This window comes from Homo sapiens, chromosome 13 (genome assembly GCF_000001405.40).
Source record: "Homo sapiens chromosome 13, GRCh38.p14 Primary Assembly".
Classification (NCBI taxonomy): Eukaryota; Metazoa; Chordata; class Mammalia; order Primates; family Hominidae; genus Homo; species Homo sapiens.
Window position 1 is genome coordinate 63,593,484 of NC_000013.11, and position 22,205 is coordinate 63,615,688.

At 35.7% G+C, this 22,205-nt stretch overlaps 1 long non-coding RNA gene across 6 annotated transcripts in view, besides 2 other annotated features; it reads left to right on the forward strand.

Moving 5' to 3' along the window:
* The first annotated feature begins 409 nt into the window (after positions 1 to 409).
* Positions 410 to 22,205, forward strand: part of LOC105370236 (uncharacterized) — a 78,736-nt gene continuing 56,940 nt past the window's right edge. For 5 of the 6 annotated variants that reach the window (XR_942019.2, XR_942020.1, XR_942018.2 and 2 more), the window contains exons 1-2: positions 410 to 499; positions 16,764 to 16,953. This is a non-coding gene — a long non-coding RNA (uncharacterized LOC105370236). The remainder of the gene's footprint in view (positions 500 to 16,763; positions 16,954 to 22,205) is intronic. The other variant, XR_942023.2, reaches the window with a different exon arrangement.
* Positions 1,975 to 2,476: an enhancer, noted in NCBI's record as "H3K4me1 hESC enhancer chr13:64169591-64170092 (GRCh37/hg19 assembly coordinates)". NCBI's record gives its function as "activates a minimal SCP1, AML or CMV promoter by ChIP-STARR-seq in naive H9 embryonic stem cells {active_cell/tissue: H9 hESC(naive)}" and the evidence as "EXISTENCE:reporter gene assay evidence [ECO:0000049][PMID:30033119]".
* Positions 2,477 to 2,976: an enhancer, noted in NCBI's record as "H3K4me1 hESC enhancer chr13:64170093-64170592 (GRCh37/hg19 assembly coordinates)". NCBI's record gives its function as "activates a minimal SCP1, AML or CMV promoter by ChIP-STARR-seq in naive H9 embryonic stem cells {active_cell/tissue: H9 hESC(naive)}" and the evidence as "EXISTENCE:reporter gene assay evidence [ECO:0000049][PMID:30033119]".

Consider the following 22,205-nt stretch of genomic DNA (forward strand, 5'->3'; position numbering starts at 1 on the left):
CTGCTCTTCGCAATAAATCTTGCTGCTGCTCATTCTTTGGGTCGCCGCCGCCTTTTATGAGTTGTAGCACTCACCGCGAAGGTCTGCAGCTTCACTCCTGAAGCCAGCTAGAGCCAGCGAGACCACGAACCCACTGGGAGGGATGAACAACTCCGGACTCGCCACCTTTATGAACTGTTAACACTCACAGCGAAGGTCTGCAGCTTCACTCCTGAAGCCAGCGAGACCACAAACCCACTAGGAGGAATGCACAACTCCTGATGCCCTGCCTTTAAAAGCTGTAACGGTCACTGCGAAGGTCTGCGGCTTCATTCCTGAAGTCAGCGAAACCACGAACCCACCTGAAGGAAGAAACTCCGGACACATCCGAACATCAGAAGGAACAAACTCTGGACACACCATCTTTAACTGTAACACTCACCACGAGGGTCCGCAGCTTCATTCTTAAAGTCAGCGAGACCAAGAACCCACCAATTCCGGACACGCAAGTATTCGTAACGTAATAACCTTACACATAGTTTAAAAAATCATCTCAAAGTTCCTAAGATTGTCTTTGTTTTTAAATAATCATTAATATAATGTTTGATTTTCTTTGGAGAAAAATATAGTTTTTCAAAATGCTTATCACCTTCTTATGATTGAACACTCCCTATTCAAACCTGTTTTTGATTTTCCAAGTATCTCATTAAAAATAGTTATATATTTTATGTTGAAATGTTTTTACATATAATCAGTCATGAAATATTCATACTCAGAAGGTAACACATAAAACTCACAACAATCAAGATTGTCAGAGGTCATTCTTATTTTTCTCTACTTCTTAGTACTTTCTAACCTCTTCACCCCAAGGGAGAGACTTATAGCATGGTGCAATTCAAGTTTGAACTTATGATTTTAAAATGGCTATTTAGTCTGGTAGTAACTGTTAATCAAGGACACAATGTTTATATGTCAGTGATGTCAAAGCAGAACTCGCTAATATTACAGAAGCCATGCTCAAACAACAGCTGGGAGATAAGTAGTAATTGAACATACTTAAAAATCCACCCCATGTACTGAACAGATTTCAGTGTCTGCTGTGTTTAAGGTCCACTGAGTTGTGAAATGGCTGTTTCATTCACACAGATGTTAATATCTCCAGGCTCTTCTCTAGCTTTGTAGCTTCTCATTTACATATCTGCAGTAAGTTTGGTGTTCATGAAGTGAGATACAGCTACTTGTCACTACTCTTTGTTATAATAAAGCATGTTCAAGACAAAATACGAGCGACTCCTATTTTGCTTAATTACAGCTCATTAAGGCTTAAGAAGAAAAATAATAAAGGAACATAGCAATAGGTGTTCAGTCACCAGTGCTTCATTAGTCCTTTTACTGTTTAAATACCTGAAGCTGATGAATATAAATTACTCATACAAATGCAGTTTAAAAAGTTTTTGCTCTCTTTTTTCCTCTGTGTAAACAGTATCAAATAATGAAATTGATTATTTGATATTATGAGAGTTAAATTTTCTTCTTGAGAGTGAAATTTTATTTTTACATGCTTAGCATATTTTTTATGTAGATATGTATGCTGAGCAGTTCCCAAGCTGTTTAAAAATCATTTGATCAAATAAAATGGAAAATGCATGGATTCTAAATCAGAGGTTAAAGAGACATAGCATAGCTAATTATGTCTCACATTCCAAGATAACGTTACTTGTTCTGATGAGGTTGAACATACTAATGTCTAAATGCCAATACTTTCCACACAACTGGTATCTTTCAATTAAATATATTCTCTTGATGCACACAGCCAGTTATTTGCTACAATGACTCTACTTCAGGAAACTAAATACCTCTTGACAACAAGCTGCTCAATCCTGGAATTCATCAGGGTGCACTTTATTGTTTTCCCTTCACAGAGACTAACAAATAGTGTTACTTTTGATTTTAGTTTTGCAGAAATATACTCTGTAAGTAAATTTTATAGCTCACCTGGTACCCTGATTGGTCTTTCCATTTCCTTGAGAGCATTTTGCCAAAACGTTTTATATACTTTATTGAAATAATAATTCTTGCAAAAGTGATTTAGAAGTCCCTCATTTTGATATTGTCATTTAACGTACATTTCCAGATTCGTAAATAGTGCTCAATGAGAATGGTCTTTTATTAGGATTTGAAGAGAACATAGTAATATTTTCCCTTACATTGAGAAGTGCATAGCAAATAGAAAATTATAGTATTGCAAACATTTTTTCTAAGATATATCCAATTTTAATTGGTCATCTATGACTGACTCTGTGTGTGTGTATTCAATATCACATTTGAGAACAGAACAATTACACTTCATTTCCTTCATAAAATTAGCAACTTATGAAATACTTTTATTCTATTTAATGTTCGCTATTTGTTCAAGTGGGATTTTGATGCAGGATTTTTCTTCTCAGTCACTTTGCAAGCCAGAGTTCCCTGGCCAGCGACGTCCCGCCCCAGCCTCACTCGGCCATGCTGGCATGCCCCAGCTTGCCTGTGTTACAGCTTGTACCTGCATTCAGCAGTTTGCAAGCTCTTGTACCATGCTCGAGAAAAATGAGGATAGACAGGATATTGAAGGGCGAGAAGGGTGGAGAAGAATTTTTCTGAATGATGAAAATGGCTTTCATCAGAGAGGGGACATGGTGGGGATGTTTCCCCTACCAGAAGGTGGGAAAATTCCCCCCCTGTGGCTCTATGTGGGGCCTTTTATGGACTCAGAATGGGGAGTGTGTGCTGATTGGTTTGTGAGTATGCAAAAACGGTTAAAGAAAATATACCACTCAAAGATGGGCAGGACAGTGTAGAAAAACAAATTAGGAAAGGGTAGGTATAAGTAAAATAGGTAAAGGGTAGGGACCAATCAGAGGAACACATGCCAAACAGGAAGACAAGTTCTCAATCCAGTCTGAGGATTTAACTTGTAGCTTGGCTTTCAGACTCTAAACTGTCTTTGGCTTAGAGGTGGGGTTTCACTCGGGACCCACCTACCTGCCTAGAATTTCTCTGCCTCCTGCCTCTATCAATTTCAAATGCATCTAATTAAAATATATGCATATATTTAAAATGCATAAACAATGCATATAAATTATTGTATTATACATTATGCAAATGTATACAAATATATATACTTAAAAGATAAGACCAAAGGCTTAAATGCACATATTTTTAAAGATGTGACAAGATTTTCCATCTGTTGGAATAATACCAAATTAATTTATATTTAGTATTTTTGCCACTAAACTACCAGTTTGTCATAGTAGGTTTCCAGCATTGGTTTACATAAAGGACAGCATAGGAATAAAATGCATTTTTCACACAATTCAGTAGACTATTTTACAGCTGACCTTTTTTTTTTTTTTTTTTGAGACCGAGTCTCGCTCTGTCGCCCAGGCTGGAGTGCAGTGGCGTAATCTCGGCTCACTGCAAGCTCCACCTCCCAGGTTCATGCCATTCTCCTGCCTCAGCCTCCCGAGTAGCTGGGACTATAGGCACCCACCACCACGCCCAGCTAATTTTTTGTGTTTTAGCAGAGACCCGGTTTCACCGTGTTAGCCAGGATGGTCTCGATCTCCTGACCTCATCATCTGCCCTCCTCGGCCTCCCTAAGTGCTGGGATTACAGGCGTGAGCCACCGCGCCTGGCCAGCTGACTTTCTAATTTTCAAGAAAATTTAAAATTCTATTGCTGTTGCATAATAAGTATAAATATTACACGATGATTGTCTTGAAAGTTATTCATATTTATAGTATAGCTCTCTGTATATAACAGAAACTAAATCTGAAACCCTTTAGGAGGAAAAAAAAAGCCAGAGATTTAACAACTAAGATAAGGGTGGTAATGAGGGTGCCTCAGGTTATAAAATTTTTAGAAAAATTCAGTGTGACCTAATTCTAGTAATTAGACCTGCATTTTGTGACCAAACCCTTCCTTGAAAACCTGTTTTGGTAACTAGGCCTATAATTTATCTGAGTTTAAATTATGTTTTATCCAATACTATAACTCAGTATTACTTTTAATAATTGCAAAGGAGCTTAGCTAAACTGCAACATCTGAGAAAACAATTTCCAAAGTTTGCACTCATTTCAGACACCACCATCGATTTCAAGGATCCTCAGAAGCATCATCATTTCACAATAGCTAGCTACAAATTCAGGAGTCTCTATGACTACCCTCAGGTTCAATAATTCACTAGAAACATTCACAAATCCCAGGAAAGTGTTATGTCTGATGATTACAATTTTATTATAGAAGAAGTATAAAAATTAGAATCAGTCTAAGGAAAAGATATGCATAAGATGAATTCTGGGAGGTTTCTATTTTTTACTTTTCTTAGAGATGAGGTCTTGCTAATGTTATGGGAAAGAGGTCCCAGTCCAGACCCAAGAGAAGCTTCTTAGAACTCATGCAAGAAAGAATTCAAGGCAAATCCATACAGTAAAGTGAAAGAAAGTTTATAAGAAAGTAAAGGAATGGAAGAATTGCTACTCCATAGGCAGAGCAGCCCCAAGGGCTGCTGGTTGCCCATTTTTATGGTTATTTCTTGATTATATGCTAGACAAGGTGTGAATTATTCATGAGTTTCCTGGGAAAGGCATGGACAATTCCAGGAGCTGAAGTTTCGCCTCTTTTTAGACCATATAGTGTAACATCTGGACATTGCCATGGCATTTGTAAACTGTTATGATGCTAGCAGGAGTGTCTTCTATGCTAGTGCATTATAATTAGCATATAATGAGCAGTGAGGACTACCAGAGTTCACTCTCCTCACCATCTTGGTTTTGGTGGGTTTTGGCTGGCTTCTTCACAACCACCTGTTTTATCAGCAAGATCTTTATTATCTGTATCTTGTGCCAACCTCCTATTTCATCCTGTGACTTAGAATGCCTAACTTACTGAGAAGGCAGCCAAGCAGGTTTCAGCCTTGTTTTACCCAGCCCCTGTTCAAGATGGAGTTGCTCTTGTTCAAATGCCTCTGACACTGTGTTGCCCAGGGTGGTCTCAAACTCCTGGCCTCAAATAATCCTCCTGCCTCAGCCCTGCAAAAGTGCTGGAATTACATGCATAATTCACCACAGCCAGATAGTCTGGGAGGTTTCTAAATGTGAAATTTCCATTATCTTCAGGGATGCTTTATTCTACCAAGCATCAATTTTTGGCAATAATAATAAAGTATAGCCACCGCAAGAAGCTCACTAGAGCTTCAGCTTGAGAGTGCCTATTGAGGCTTCATGAGATAGGCATGACTGATTCATTGCTTACATAATTGAACTTAATTTTCAGCCCCACTCCTCAGTATGGAGGCCTCATGAGGCCCATGGCCAAACCTTCTACCCCAAGCCTGGCTTTGATGTGACCAACCCCTACCACGGAGTCATCTCACTAGCATAAACTATTAAGGGGAACATCATGAACTGTCACCTGTGGCCAGCGATGCACACAATGAATAACAAAGACACTGCCATCACTTAAGAAATGCAAAAGGTTTAGAACCTGTCTCTCAGGGGCTGAGACAATGGCCAGACCTCTCTTTGGAAGTTAAATTCCTTAATACAAAATGAACCAATCAAGAACCCAAATCGGAATCTGATCTCCAGGTGTTAACTCCTGATATTTGCTGCTGCAGTGAACAGCAATTCCAGCCTTATGCAAGTCTGTCTACCCAGATCACAGACCTTTGTCCATGCCCAGCTTTTGTGTGATTGTGCTCCATTTTACACTCAGCACAAAATAGAAGATCAACCTTGACTTTTGACAATTTAAATGAAAAAGAGAGCTAACTGGCTAGGTAGACAGATAATCCCTTTCGATTTCAGCTAAAAAACAAATACAAAAACAAAAATTGACTTAAAATCCTCCTAACTGACATTTATAATGGTAAGTTTTTGAAAGTTTTTATAAATATCCAAAATGCTACATTTTCTATCTTTGTTATTATCTCATATTGGGAACATTATCCCAATGATTTAGAATTTAAAAATTCATCTTCAATTGAGTGACCTTAATTTGACAAACTAACTCATGACTTTTGGCCAGTAGGCTCTTTTGTGTTACGGTAAGAGCATTATAGACCCCATCCCCTTTTCAACCATTTGAAAGTGAATTGTTTTTAAATATGTATAGTCTTTTCCTATGAACAATGTCTGTACTCACCACAGGACTCAGAAATAAACATTTGCAATCACATTGATTACTATTGTTTATAAGGCAGCTGGGTTAAAAATGAAATATATGCTTCATTAAATAAGCCAGGTCAAAAAAGAATTGGTGTCTACACCAGAGTAAGCAGTTACTCTGACATGTGCACAGTTTTGACTGTCTGTTGTCTTTTTGTACATAGATTCTAGTTCCACAAAGTCTTAGACAGAGTAATTATATTCACAGTAGATCCTTACATTTATTTATTTATTAATATTTATTTATTTTTGAGATAGAGTTTCACTCTTGTTGCCCAGGCTGGAGTGCAGTGGCGTGATCTCAGCTCTCTGCAACCTTTGCCTCCTGGTTTCAAGCAATTCTCCTGCCTCAGCCTCCTGAATAGCTGGGATTATAGGTGTGCACCACCATGTCCAGCTTTTTTTTTTTTTTTTGTATTTTTAGTAGAGACAGGGTTTCACCATGTTGGCCAGGCTGGTCGCAAACTCCTGACCTCAGGTGATCCACCTGCCTCAGCCTCCCAAAATGCTGAGATTACCACTCACCCAGTGGGTGCCACTGCACCCAGCCCTTACTTATATTTAAAATAAAAGTTTTAAAAGTTTTTTAGGTGCTGGCTCATGCAGGTAATTTATTTTGAGAATGTTGATTATATAAATAGTATCCATATAAGAATAAAATGTAAATAAATGTACATACTATGAAGCTCTGCACTCAAAGACTATGAGCAATGACTTTTTCTTAAATATTCTATCTATAAGGACTTTTTATTATAAAATGTATGTATTACATAAATACATGAATATTCAAGAAATTTGAAAGATGAAATATTAAACTTTTAAAAAAATGGTTACTTTCTTTTTTTAAAATTTAAGTTCAGGGCTACATGTGCAGGTTTGATATATAGGTAAACTGCATGTCATGGAGTGTTTGTGTGTTTGATACGGAGTCTCGCTCTGTTGCCCAGGCTGGAGTGCAATGGCAGAATCTTGCCTAACAGCAAACTCCGCCTCCTGGGTTCAACTGGTTCTCCTTCTTCAGCCTCCTGAGTAACTGAAATTACAGGCACCCACTGTCATACCTGGCTAATTGTTGTATTTTTGTAGAGAGGGGGTTTCACCATGTTGGCCAGGCTAGTCTTGAACTCCTGACCTCAGGTGATCCACCTGCCTTGACCTTCAAAAGTACTGGGAGGTGTCATGGAATTTCGGTGTACAGATAATTTCATCAGTCAGGTGACATAGCACCTAATAGGTATTTTTATCCTCATCTCCCTCCTCCCTTTCTTCACTCTCAAGAAGGCTCTAGTGTCTGTTTTTCCCCTCCTTTGTGTCTATGTGTTCTCATTATTTATAAATGAGACCATGCATATTTGTTTTTCCATTCCTGGGTTAATTTTCATAAGATAATGGCCTTCAGCTCCATCCATGTTGCTGCAAAGGACATGATCTTGTTCCTTTTTATGGCTGCAAGGTATTCCGTGGTGTATTTATACCACATTTTCTTTATTCAGTCTGTCATTGATGGGCATTTAGGTTAATCCCATGTCTTTGCCATTGTGAATAGTGCCGCAATGAACATATGCGTGCATAGGTTTTTATGATAGAAAAATTTATATTCCTTTGGGTATATACCAATAATGGGATTGTCGGGTCAAATGGTAATTCTGTTTTAAGTTATTTGAGAAATCACCACACTGCCTTCCACAATGGCTTAACTCATTTACACTCTCACCAGCAGTGTATAAGTGTTCTCCTTTCTCCACAGTCTTGCCAGCATCTGTTATTTTTTGACGTTTTAATAATAGCCATTCTGACTGGTGTTTGATGATGTCTCGTTGTTTGGATTTTCATTTCTGTGATTACTGATGTTAAGCATTTATTGTCATATGTTTGTTGGCCACATGTATGTCTTCTTTTGAAAAGTATCTGTTTATGTCCTTTGCTCACTTTTTAATAGAGTTGCTTGTTATTTTGCTTGTAAATTTGTTTAAGTTCATTATAGATTCTGGATATTAGAACTTTGTCAGATGCATACTTTGCAAAAATTTTCTCCCATTATATAGGTTGTCTATTTACTCTGTTGATAGTTTATTTTGCTGTGCAGAAGTTCTTTAATGTAATTAAATCCAATTTGTCATTCTTTTTTTAAAATTTTAATTGCTTTTGGCATCTTCATTATGAAATATTTGCCAAGTTGTTTTTCCAGAGTGTTATTTCTTAGGTTATCTTCCAGTGTTTTGATAGTTTTTGGTTTTAAATTTAAGTCTTTAATCCATCTTGGTTGACTTTGTATATGGTGTAAAGAAAGGGTCCAGTTTCAATCTTCTGCGTATGTCTAGGTAGTTATTCCATGACCATTTATTGAATAGGGAGTCCTTTCCCCATTGCTTGCTTTTGTCAGCTTTGTTAAAGATCAGGTGGTTGTAGGGGTGTGGCATTATTTTTGGGCTTTCAATTCTGTTCCATTGGTCTATGTGTCAGTTTTTGCACCAGTATCATGTTCTTTTAGTTACTGTAGCCCTGTATTATAGTTTGAAGTCAGGTATCATGATGCCTCCAGCTTTGTTCTTTTCACTCAGGATTGCCTTGGCTATTCAAGCTCTTTTTTGATTCCATATGAATTGTAAAATAGCTTTTCTTAATTCTGTGAATAATGTTATTGGTAATTTGATTGAAATAGCATTAAATCTGTAAATTTCTCTGGGAATTATGGCCATTTAAAAGATATTGATTCTTTCTATCCATGAACATCAAATGTTCTTCCATTTACTTGTCTCATATCTGATTTCTTTGAGCAGTGGTTTATAATACTTTCAATCTCTGGTTAGCTATGTTCCTAGAAATTTTATTCATTTTGTGGCAATTATGAATAGGATTGAGTTCCTGATTTGGCTCTTGGCTTGGATGTTGTAGGTATATAGAAATGCTACTGATTTTTATATGTTGATTTTGTATCCTGAAAATTTGCTGAAGTTGTTTATGAGATCAAGGAGCTTTTGAACAGAGACTGTGGGGGTTTTCTAGAAGTTATACCAACCACATCTCAGACCACAGCGCTACAAAAATAAAAGTCAATACTAAGAAAATTCCTCCAAAGCATTCAATTATATGGAAGTTAAACAATCTGATCCTGAATGAGTTTTGGGTAAATAATTAAATTAAGTCAAAAATAAAGGAATTCTTTGAAGCTAAAGATAACAAAGATACAACATATCACAATCTCTAGGACACCCCTAAAACAATGTTAAGATGGTCATTTGTAGCACTAAGTGCCCACATCAAAAAGTTATATATATATCTCAAATTAACAACCTAACATCACAACTAGAACAGCTAGAGAAGCAAGAACAAACCAACCCCAAAGTTAGTATAGAAGACAAGAAATAACCAAAATCAGAGCTGAACTGAAGAAAATTGAGACACAAAAATCACTCAAGAGATCAGTGAATCCAGGAGTTTGTTCTTTGAAAAAATTAATAAGATAGGCTGCTAGCCAGACTAATAAAGAAAAAAGGACAGAGAAGATCCGAATAAGCATAATTAGAGATGACAAAGGGGACATTACCAGTGACCCCAAAGAAATACAAAAAAATTATCAGAGACTCCTATGCACACCTCTATGCATACAAACTAGAAAATCTAGAAGAAATGCATAAAATCCTGGACCCAGATAAATTCCCAAAACAGAACCAGAAAGAAATTGGATCCCTGAACTTGAGTCAATAATTAGTTCCAAAATTGAATCAGTAATAAAAAGCCTACCAACCAAAAAAGGCCCAGGACTAAATGAATTCCCAGCCAAATTCTACCAAATGCATAAAATAGAGTAGATACCAGTCCTACTGAAACTATTCCAAAAACTTGAGGAGGAAGGACTTTTCCCTCAATTCATTCTATGAGGCCAGCATCATCCAAATATCAAAACACAGCAGGCACACAACAAATAAAGAACACTTCAAGTCAATATTCTTGATAAACATAGATGTAAGAATCCTCAAGGAAATACTAGCAAACTGAATCCAGCATCACATCAAAAAGCTAATCGACTGTAATCAAGTAGGCCTTATCCCTGGGATGCAAGGTTGGTTCAACATACACAAATCAGCAAATGTGATTAATCACATAAACAGAAGTAATTCTAAAACCATGTGATTATCTCAATAGATGCAGAAAAGGTTTCAATAAAATTCAGCATCCCTTCATGTTGAATTAATGAGGCGTTGAAGAAACATACTCCAAAATAATAAGAGTCATCTATGACAAACCCACAGCCAACTTCATGCTGAACAGACAAAAGCTGGAAGCATTCCCCTTGGAAACTGGCACAAGACAAGGATGCCCTCCCTTACCACACCTACTCAACATAATATTGGAAATCCTGATCAGAGCAATCAAGTAAAAGAAATAAAAGGCATCTAAATAGGAAGAGAGGAAGTCACACTATCCCTGTTTGCAGATGACATGATGCTATATCTAGAAAAGTTTTAATTTGAGACAGAGGATTATGAAATATGAAGCATCTATAGCCTGCATAGAGTTTGAAAATAACAGAAAAAGATGCAGCCTTCTGATCAAATTCAGATGGGAAAGCAAACAGGGATTGTTCAAATTAAATTTGCCTGTGAATAACAGAATAGTTCTGGTGGAACCAGCAAGACAAAGTTTGCAAACATAGCCACCAATGTTACTAGTCCATTTACATTTTAAGAAATACTTTATGGTGTAAACATTTTTACATATTTGGTCAATCTCCCAAGATGTTAATAAAAGAGAAAACAATACCATTCATTACAAAAATATGGCAAATGTATTTAAAAAGTCAGTGTTATATTATGAAAGTGAAAATAAGACTTTCAAAAGAAATGAAAATGTTACAATTAGATTGAACTGTCAAAATTGCATAATGGCTAACTTTAGATTCATTTAATTTTAAATTATTTGTAGTTTGAAAATAAGACAACATAGAATTATAAGTATTATATTATCAAATCAATGAAGCTATTTTTAAAAATCTTAAATATTTGACCAAAACTCTTCCCAACATTTTATATCTTCATGTTTTGCTATTTATTTATTTATTTGAGACAGAGTTTTGCTCTTGTTGCCCAGGCTGGATTGCAGTGGCATGATCTTGGCTCACTGCAACCTCTGCCTCTTCGGTTCAAGCGATTCTCCTGCCTCAGCCTCCCGAGTAGCTGGGGTCATAGGCGCCCACCACCACGCCCAGCTAATTTTTGTTTTTTTAGTAGATACAGGGTTTCACCATGTTGTCTAGGCTGGTCTCAAACTCCTGGCCTCAGGTAATCTGTCCGCCTTGGCCTCCCAAAGTTCTGAGATTACAGACGAGAGCCACTGTGCCTGTCCATATTTTATTATTTTCATAAGAATATATTTATCTAATTATACAACTTTATATATTTTATTATACAAGTCTTCAGAAAGATATACATCGACATTCTAATTAGTAATTTTTTTCTCAGTATTGCCCATCTGATTCCCTCAGCCTCCTCCATCATTCCTGAAGAGGTAGATGAGGAGGAAAGAATGTAGAAGTGGTCACCTCTTCTGGGAGACAGATTGAATTTCACTTGCTTCCCACGCTCTTCTAAATAATCTATAGAGATTTAGTTTTCTAAATCCTCACAGGAAAGATCAATTCATTAAACAAACACTGCTGCTCTCAAAATTACTTCTACTCAAAAACAAATTTTTTTCTACCCTTATGAACCACATGCTCCCCTTGTCCTATAATACTGGAATTTCTTGAATTTTTCTTTAATAATAAAGCAATGTCATTTTTGAGCAAGATGGAAGAATAGGAAGTAATCTGCCAGAAGTTTCTCATGAAAACAAGAGTTCTGCAACCATCCACAGACAAAACTGTGGGAGCCATGAACATCAGGTAGGAGGTTGTGAAACCCCAGTGAAGCCCAAGACCTAGAAAGATCATTTTGAGACTGCAAACCCACACCACCTGTGGCAGGCTCACTGATCGTGTTCTTAGTTTCAGACCCAGAAAGTGTTCCTTTCCCTGACAGGCAAGGCTACAGATACCTTTAGGCTTTATCCTACTACCAAAACCATCTATCCGGAGGTCTAGGAGAAATCACTTACACTAGTTTTTTAGAAGACAGGCATGTCTGCACTCTGATATCCATCACCACTATGGACCTAAAAGTTATTTAGTAACTTAGCTCCAGCCTCCTTCTGCTGTAGTCCCAGCTTAGTGCTCCTTGGACAAGGACCCAGAGGGAGACTCACCCATTTGTGCCACCACTAAAAGACTTGCCAGACTCTGTCTCACTGCACATCTTGAAGGGGCCCTGTCTCAGCCATAGTCCCTCTTTTCCACAGCCCCAGAGTTATCCTACTTTACAGAAAACTCCTGACATGCTTTCTGAACTTTATCCCACAGAGGTTTTTGAAAGGGGCCTGAATCTCAGTTGTAGTCCCTCTAAGCTTTCATCTGTGAGCAATCCTGCTTGCATAGAGAACTCCTAACATTCTTACCCAATTGTGTCACCAGGTCAAGCTTGTCAACATCATTTCCACAGCAAATACTGAATTAGCCCTGAAACTCAGTTATAGTCCCTCTCAGCTGTGGTCTGGGGGCAGTTATTGCCCTGCCAGGTCTCTGTGGGAAGATGTGCTCATCTGAGTCCTTGTGGTAGCCTTGATAATCTCTTTCCTACAGCCAATCCTTAAACATCCCCGTATCCTGATCCCAGCCCCTCTTGTCTATGGGCACAGAGCAGTTTTGCTTGCCTGGGGACTTGGAAGGAGGCACATCCAACAATACCCCTACAGGCTGATGCACTGACCTTGGTTCCACTGTGGATCTTGAAGAGCCCTATAGATTGTCTCCAAGTCTTCTCAACTGCCGTCTGAGAGCCAGCCTGTTCACCCAGAAACCCACCTGGAAATGCATGTATTTGTGAACTGGATACAGGTCTGAAGATCTTGTTCTTGACTGGGGACCTAAAACAACCATGAGTCTTAGATCCAGCACATTGCGCCATGGACTAGAGCAGACCAGCCAGCCTAGCAGTCCATCTAGTGATCCCATGGGAACCCTCCCAGAGACCCAGAAGAAGCCACACATGTCAGTATACCTGATAACAAATTGGCTGATCTGCGAACCCTAAAGTGTACCCTTATCCTAGTACCAGCCCCATAGAATGAAGTCCTGGAGACAGTCCAGGGCACTTAGGGACCAGATCAGACTTACAACCCCTGGAAATAGGCCACTAACTGTGGTATCCACTGTAGACCCAGCATCAACCATGTGAACTGACTCCAGCCCCATTCAACTACAATCCTAGAGGCAACCCTATCAGCCTGGAGAGCTAACTTTTCAAAATCAATGTTAAGAACTGAGAGTAGAGTTCACTTCTTCAAATGCACAGTCATCAACACAAGGCTACATGGATAACAAAAAATTGGGCAAACATGACAAAAACCAAAGGCACTAAAAAAGCTCCAGTAACCAACCCCAGGGAAGTGGAGATATGCAAATTGTCTGAAAAATAATCTAAAATAGTAGCTATTTTAAAGAAATTCAGTGAGATGCAAGGAAATACAGACAGACGACTAAATGAAATTAAAAAAATACATGAACAAAAAGAGAAGTTTGGTGAATAAATAGAAAGCATAAACAGAAATCCTGGAGCTGAAGAATACAGTGAAAAAAATAAAAAATCAACAGCTTCAATTGAAGAGTTGGCATACAAAAGAAAGAAATAGAAAACTCAAAGATAGGTCATTTTAAAGTAACCAATTAGGAGAATAAAAAAAAAAGATATTTAAAAGAGTAAAGAAAGCATAAGGAAACTATGGAATACTACTAGACATACAAATACAAGAATTATGGGAGTACTAGAAGGAGAAGAGACAAAGGGACGAATAGCTTTTTTAAAAAAAATGATGTCTAAAAATTTCCTAAATCTTTGGGGGCATATGAACATACAGATTTAGGAAGTTCAAAGAATCCCAAACATGATCAATTCAAAAAAGAATCCTCCTAGGCACGTTGTGATCAAATTGACAAAATTCAGAGACAAAGAATCTTAAAAGTAGCAAGAGAGAAAAAACTTGTTATATATAAAGGATCTCTCAAAAGGCTATCAGTGGACTTCCTAACAGAAGCCTTGCAAGCCAGGAAAGAGTGAGATTACATACCCAAAGTTCTAAAACAAATAATTGCCAGCCAAATAGACTGTGCACAGCAAAAATGTCCTTTAGAAATGAAAGATAAAAACACTCCAGAACAACAACAAAAATGCGAAGGGAATTCATCACCACCAGACTTGTCTTACAAGAAATGCTAAAAGAAGTTCCTCAAGCTGAAAGAGAACAACACTAATGATTAACACAAAAACATCTGAAAAGATAAAATTCACAGCTAAAAGTAAGTACACGGTCAAATTGAGACTACTCTAATACTGTGATAGTGGTGTTTAAATCACTTCTATCTTTAACATGAAGGTTAAAAGACAAAACTATTAAAATAATAATAGCGGCCAGGCATAGTGGCTCACACCTGTAATCCCAGCACTTTGGGAGGCCAAGGCAGGTGGATCATCTGAGGGCATGAGTTCGAGACTAGCCTGGCCAACATGGTGAAACACCGTCTCTACTAAAAATACAAAAATTAGCTGAGCCTGGTGATACATGCCTGTAATCCCAGCTACTCGGGAGGCTGAGGCAGGAGAACTGCTTGAACCTAGGAGGCAGAGTTTGCAGTGAGCGAACATCGTGCCATTGCACTCCAGCCTGGGCAACAGAGCAAGACTCTGTCTCAAAATAATAATAATAATAATAATGATAATAACTACAATAATTTGTTAAGGGATATCGTATGTAAAGAGATGTAAATGGTAACATCAAAAATGCAAAATGTGGGGAGAGGAAGTGAAGTACAAGTGTCAGAATTTCTTTTTATGTTTTCTGCTGTATGTATTTTACTTTAGAAAAACCTTACCCAATTATATGAAATAATATAAATTATATATTAATTTTAGTCTTGAATTGGTTATATTAATTTAAATAACTTTATAATTTATTTGCTTCTTCAATTAGCTAATTTATTAAAATCGACACTTTATATTATAATAGATTTCATAAATATGAGGCTTTCTGTTCTGTGTATGTATATGTGTTTTGGTATTGATGCCATTCTATTTCAGTTACTGTGGTTCTATTGTATAATTTTACACAGAAAAGGATCTATATCATCAACTATTCTTTTTCCACAATTATTTTCCTGGATATTCTGTGAAAGTGCTTTTCCAGATGAACTTTATCAAAAATATATGACATTTCTCTACCAAATTCTATTTGTCCACAAATGAGAATTAAATTTAATGTGTATATTAATATAGTAAAGACCACCATATTTCCACTATTAGGTTTTTTCAGGGTACAATAAAGTGTTTATAATTTTTTACATTTTCTTTATTTTTAATTTATAAAGTTTTGTTTCTAATCACTTTAGTCTTGCACTGTTATTTTTACATTTATACCTAAGTACACATTTTCTTCTCTAATATATTGTATCTAGTTATTGTTGGAGTAAACAAAGATAAATTATTGTGTGCATTTGTTCTTTTTCTGGCCCTTTTAGTTGACATTTCCATACATATAGTTTTATATTGTACTCTGGTGGTAAAGTTGAATCTTCCTAAAAAGATTTTTAAGTCTTTCCAGATAGCTCACATGTTTTTCTTGTGGATATTAAAGTGTTTTGGAAAAACTCAAGCACTTTAATATTTAGGATAATATCAGGATATATTATCATGATTATGTCTTTTAAGATATACAGTCCAGAAAGCAGAATAATAGGTTTGTTGAGTAATAAATACTAAAATTTTACGTATTTGTAACTTAGCTTTGATGCCTGTATATGTATGTACTAACTTAAAATACATTTCTGTTTGAAATTGTTCACTAGTTTTCCGTAGGATACATCATGAAAACTAAGCTCTTCCTTATGTGTGGTAAACTGTCTCACTATTAGTCTATTCCTATTTGCTTTCTTGCAGTGCCTCTCTCTAAAAATACTTCCCTGGTCCATTAATTACAGAGTTGACCCTGTGACTGGCCCAATAAAGTATGAGAGGAAATGATATATGGCACTTTAGAATAAAAGCTTTAGGAGTCAATTTCTGTCAACTTCTTTCTTCAAGAACCACCAGCAGTGCCCCAGATAAAGGCTATTTCATTACCTGGGACCTGAAATTAAGAGAGCTACGTCTGACATACTAGAGATATATGTAACATAAGTGAAAATTTAGTGTTGTGTAAGCTACAACATCCTAATATTGTTTGTTTTTGCAGCGTAAACTCGCTGATCCTGAGACATCTCATTTTGGTCATGATATGTTACTTAACTACCTCTCCAACCACTACAATATATCATCACTAGTACTCTCCACACTCAAACCATACAAAATAATACAACCAGTGAAATCATTTTGAAAGGCAAATTTGATTGTTTTGTACCTCTAATTAAAATAAGTCCAATGTACAATCAGTCTTAGGTTACAGTATCTCTCATGGCATATTCTTCACTAATCTTTTACCACTTTCCCCCAGGTTCTTCTGTTCCAAGAAAAATGGTCTTCTTACTTCCTTGATGGCTCACAACATGCTCCTTTCTACTGCAGGAACACTGTATAACTTCTGTCAAGCATGAACTCCCCACCTCTGTTTGACATACTTCTCTACTTTCAGAACTCAGCTGAACTATCGCTTCTCAAGGGAGCACTCAAACTTCCTGAACAGAGTAAGAGATTTGTCTCTTCTGAAGTCACAAAACTTGATAATAAAACTAATGGAATGATATGACTTGTAACTATGTACTCAAATTGAAAATATCAATTACCATCTTTATCTACATTATTAGTAACACATTTTTGTTTGCATGGGCTCAAAAATATTGGGTTCTAATTATATATCACATAATATGCAGAATATTTTGCAGCTATGGACTCCAGTCCTTAAAAGAGGATTGAAGATATGAGATCAATGGATTTCAGGAATGTTTTTTACTGAATGTCAGTTAGCAGCCAGAGATAGAATTCAGGTTTTTCTTTGTTAAAATCATTTTTCTAGTATATTTGTTTGAAGGAACCAAACAGAGCTCATTTGATAGGTAAGATCATTGTAATTTTCTTATTAAAAGCCAAAGAAAAAGAACAATAATTTTAATTATTCTTATTCTGTTGCTTACTCAATTACTTAGATCTTAAAATTAAATATCTTTTTGTTTCTTTTTTCCCCTTTTCTCCAAAAAGAATTGTTTTTGAATCTTTAGTCTCTACTTTGAATTGATGATATTTTATGCCAATCCTGGTAATATTTCACATGTGATGGATGCCTGAGAATTTAGAAGAAATCATTAGACTAGAGAGTCCCAATGATTCTAAGTGAGCTAGTTTGTAACTAGATCTACTACCCTGCCCTTACTTTCATTCTTCTGAAGATTTCTTGCAATCCAAAACTTTCAACAATCTGTAGATATATCATAATGTTTCAAATTGTATATAGTGCAATTAAAATGAACTAGAAGTCTATAAAAGATGTCCCTGTATCATCTTTGCATAGAGTTTGGTCTTGACATTTTAATAATTATTTTACATAATTAAAAAATAAGACCAGCTCATTTGTTTAAACAATTCAGTTGAAGATGTACTTATCCTTTAATTAGCAGGTCAATTAATACAAGGCAGTCTTTCACACTGACTTCACTAGCTAATTGTCATTTTAAAGTTATTTTTAATAATTTAAGTGATAACTTTTTAATGACAGTACTTAGTATACTTTTCCTTCAGTGATCAGACATGAGCACAGATAGTTTTTTCAGGAATGTGGGAAAACACAAATACGCCCAAAGACTTACTGGACATTAAATAAAAAGACTGTGAAAATAGTTACTTTCTTATACTCAAGCTTGTAGGCTCTATTAAAGCAGACATTTTTGTCTGTTTTTATTTATTTCCTTTTTACTTTTTAAAATTACAAATTGACAAATTATAGTTGTATGTATTTATGGGGTACAAAGTGATACTATGATATGTGAATTCAATGTGAAATAATTAAGTCAAGCTAACTAACATGTCCATCACTTCAAATACTTATTATTTTATGTGGTAAGAGTGTTTGAAATTCACTCTCTTGGTAATGTTGAAATGTAAAATACATTATTTTTACTATATTCACCATGTTGTGCAATATATTCTTTTGTATCCCTTGACAATTATCTTCTTATTCTTCCTCCACAATCCATCCTCCCATGCTTGCAGCCTTCAGTAACAACCATTCTACTCTGTGCTTCTTTGAATTTGATTGTTTTGGATTCCACATATATGTGAGATCATGGAGTATTTGTCTTCCCATGTTTGTCTTCCCATGTTTGTTCCACATATATGTGAGAACATGGAGTATTTGTCTTCCCATGTTATTACACTTAGTGGAATGTTTTCCAATTCCATCCGTGTTGTCACAAATGACAAAATTTCTTTCTTTTTTAAGGATGCATAGTAGTATTCTATTGTGTATATATACCATATTTTCTTTATGCATTCATTTGTTGATGGATACTGGGGTTGTTTTCACAACTTGGCCATTGGGACTATTACTGTAATGAACATGGGAGTGCAGATATTTCTTGGACATACTGATTTCAAAGATTCAGGTAAATACGCAGAATTAGGATTGCTGGATCATATGGTAACTATATGTAAAGTAAAACTAAAATAGTTTTCAAAAATGGCTATACTAATTTACATTTCCTCCGACAGTGTATATAGATTACCTTGTTTTTAAATTTAATCAATGAATACCCAGGGTCTGGCATCATACTTTGCATATGGTAGTAACTCAATAAATACTTATTTAATAAGTAAGACAATAAATAATTTGTAAAACCTAATATGTTGACTTGTCCAGTAAACTGAAATTTTACAGAGAACCCATTATATTTTATGTCATATCCAGTTGATATATGAATAAAAATACCATAAATATGAATATATTATACATATGCATATTCTTACATATGTAAATAAATACAGATATACATATGAATAGCACCTAAACTGTATACAGGGGCTTTTTATACATTGAAGGATTTATTTATAAACAATTCTAATTTTTAATAATCTATATTAAAATGTTCTCTGTTTCTTAAATGATGTGTTTCAATATATTATAAGCACCTTTTATTGCTTGGAAAAATATTTGTAAATAGTTTTTTGTTACTATTTTCCCTTAAAATTTGTCTTTCTATTAATTCCTGAAGAATTGACATGATAAATTAGGTATCAAAATGAAGGCAAAAAGACAACTGAAATATATTCTTATTATGATTTCTATTATTATTATGCATTTTGAAAAATAATGACTTTAAAATGTTATTTACTTCTATTATGTTGGGTCATTTTTAGGTATGATTCTTCCTACTCAGGAATATCAACAATAATACACCACACATGTTTCATAGCTATTATAAACAGTCTATTTCTATTGTAATGTGCTTTATCCTGTATAGTAATACAGGGGGAGGGAGATCAGAATGAATGAAACCCATAAATGGGTGTCAAAACTTTTTTTTCTTCTCCTTTATCTCCTGACACATTCTCTATTAAAATATGAAGCAATGATCAAACATAGATTTAAAATGATAGGAAGTATGCTAAATTATTTCATTTTAGATAATAAAGGCAAATATTAGCTTTGAATTACTTATTAAGTGGAAATGATTATTTTATCTTAATAGAGTTTTAAAGCAAAGTGAGAACATTTATTGCTGCCTTGAGTAGGAATACACATACATGCACATGACTGCGCACTTGTGCACACACACATGCGTGTGCACACCCTAACTTTCAGTAAAATATTTTCTTCTTTCACCTGAAATCTTTATTGCATTAACTTATTTAAAAATTTTAAATTGCAATAGCTCTGCTTTTGGCCATTATATAGAAATGGCTTGCATTTCTGTTGTAGGAGTAAAGATAAAACAAACTCAAACACATCTGAGACGTGGCTGTATAGAATTTATTATATAGTAACAATGCAAAATGGTATGTGTGTAATAAGACTATTGAACATTGTACAGATGTGTACAATCATGATTTCTTAAATTTATTTTCTAAGCATAACATTTTCTCAATTTCTATAAATCACTGTGAAGTAGTTTATCTTCTAAAGGGTAATATAGACAATCACATACTGAGGTGGCAGTATAAAACTTATGAAAATATATGACGCAGAAAAAAATTAGCTTATGCTAATATTTAAGTATCACAGAACCTCTTTCTGGAAATTAGAGGTCTAAATTTTTTTAAATTTATATTTACTTCATCATAATAGGCTTACTTTCTGTTTGTAAGTAACTAAGACATTTTATGTTATTACTTTGATAGCAGCATAGTGAGTTCCAGTGTCAAGCTTAATTTGCCTATCATCCTGTATTCCAATGCATCACTTTCCTGTAATCACTTCACTATATTGGTGCCAATTTCTCCATCTCTGTGTATAAACAGATGGAAACCACCATGGGAAATATCCCTCCAACTTCAAACAAAGCTGTTTATTTATATTAAAAAGTTGCAATATATTCTGCTTACATTTGGAAGCCCATAGTATTGTGGAAATATTTTGATAAAAGAAAAAGTTGTCTCAAAATCATTTTAAACATTTTTAATGATGCAGCAGAGACAATATCACCAAGTAACCAAAATTTTCACAGCACTGTCTCCTTTTCCCTTTCGCTAGATATTTAGCCAGATAAAAATCTGGCAAGCCTACCTGGAGGAAATGCACTCCTAATTCCATATGTCATAATTTCTAATTCATTTATTCCTCCAAAATCAAGTATTGGGACCATACCATATTTTGTTCTGTACTACATTCTGGTTCATGAAAAGTAAATTTAATAAAACAGCCATAGAGCAGCGTGATTGAGTTTCCCCCAGAAACAGACCCTGAGACGGGAATGTAAAATTATGCAGGCTATTTTGCAGTTGCATGAAACATAGGGTGGTGGGGAAGTGGGAAGTGATATTGGTAAAGGAGGGGGGTAAAAAAATAAATTATTATTAAGCCAGTTCCCATTGTGGGAAAGTGGAGCTTAATCCCCTATGGAAATTCTGGGAAATGCTGCAAAACACCCTAAAAACCAGGGTATTTAGGTTGAAGTTACTTAGGTGGGTTGGGAACTGAGGAGATGTGAGGATGAAGGGTGAAGGAAGAGCTTGGGTAGCGGGTGGGAGTTGTAATTCACAGGCATTTGCCTTTCTGGCCTCTGGACAAAGCAGCCATCTACTGTTCTAAAAAGAATGTAGAGAGACAGATGCAGACACTAGATCTTTGAAGTGAGCTGCAGGGATACTACCAGGGCATAGTCATCTTCTTCTACAGATTGAATAGTGTCTTTAATCTGTGTGTTTATACTAGAAGTGCTTTCCTGGTTAATGAAAAAGAATCTAAAGAATGGAGAACATTAATCTGAGAGTTAAGACTTTAAACTCTGATTCCACATTGATGACTATAATGGGCTTCGGTAGTCTTATTTGTATGTAATCTCTGTTTCTGAGATACTATTAATCTTGATTCGCATACATATTTAATAATGGAACACAGTGAGGATTTATGTGCCTTAAAGCCTGTACTGTGAAAACTTGAGCTCCCTTTACACCTTTGCCAAGTCATTTTTTGATCATCCAAGTGGTGTTTCACAACTTTGCGTACTCTACTCTCCTTTTCAGCTTCATTCCACTAGGATGATGTCTTGTACTATACAAGTTTGCAAATCTAATGCCAGTGAACACTGAAAAAGTGATAATGCTGCTGACTCCCTTGCTATTGCCCTTGAACAGCCTTTGTAAAGTCATTGAAGGCTTACATTAATAATACAACCATGGCTTAAATAGTAAGAATCAGATTTTCAACGTCCCAATATTTATTTTTAAACTCTTCTTGCAGGCCTCTTGCCTCACTATATGAGTGCATGGAAGCTAGGTTAGAAGGTAA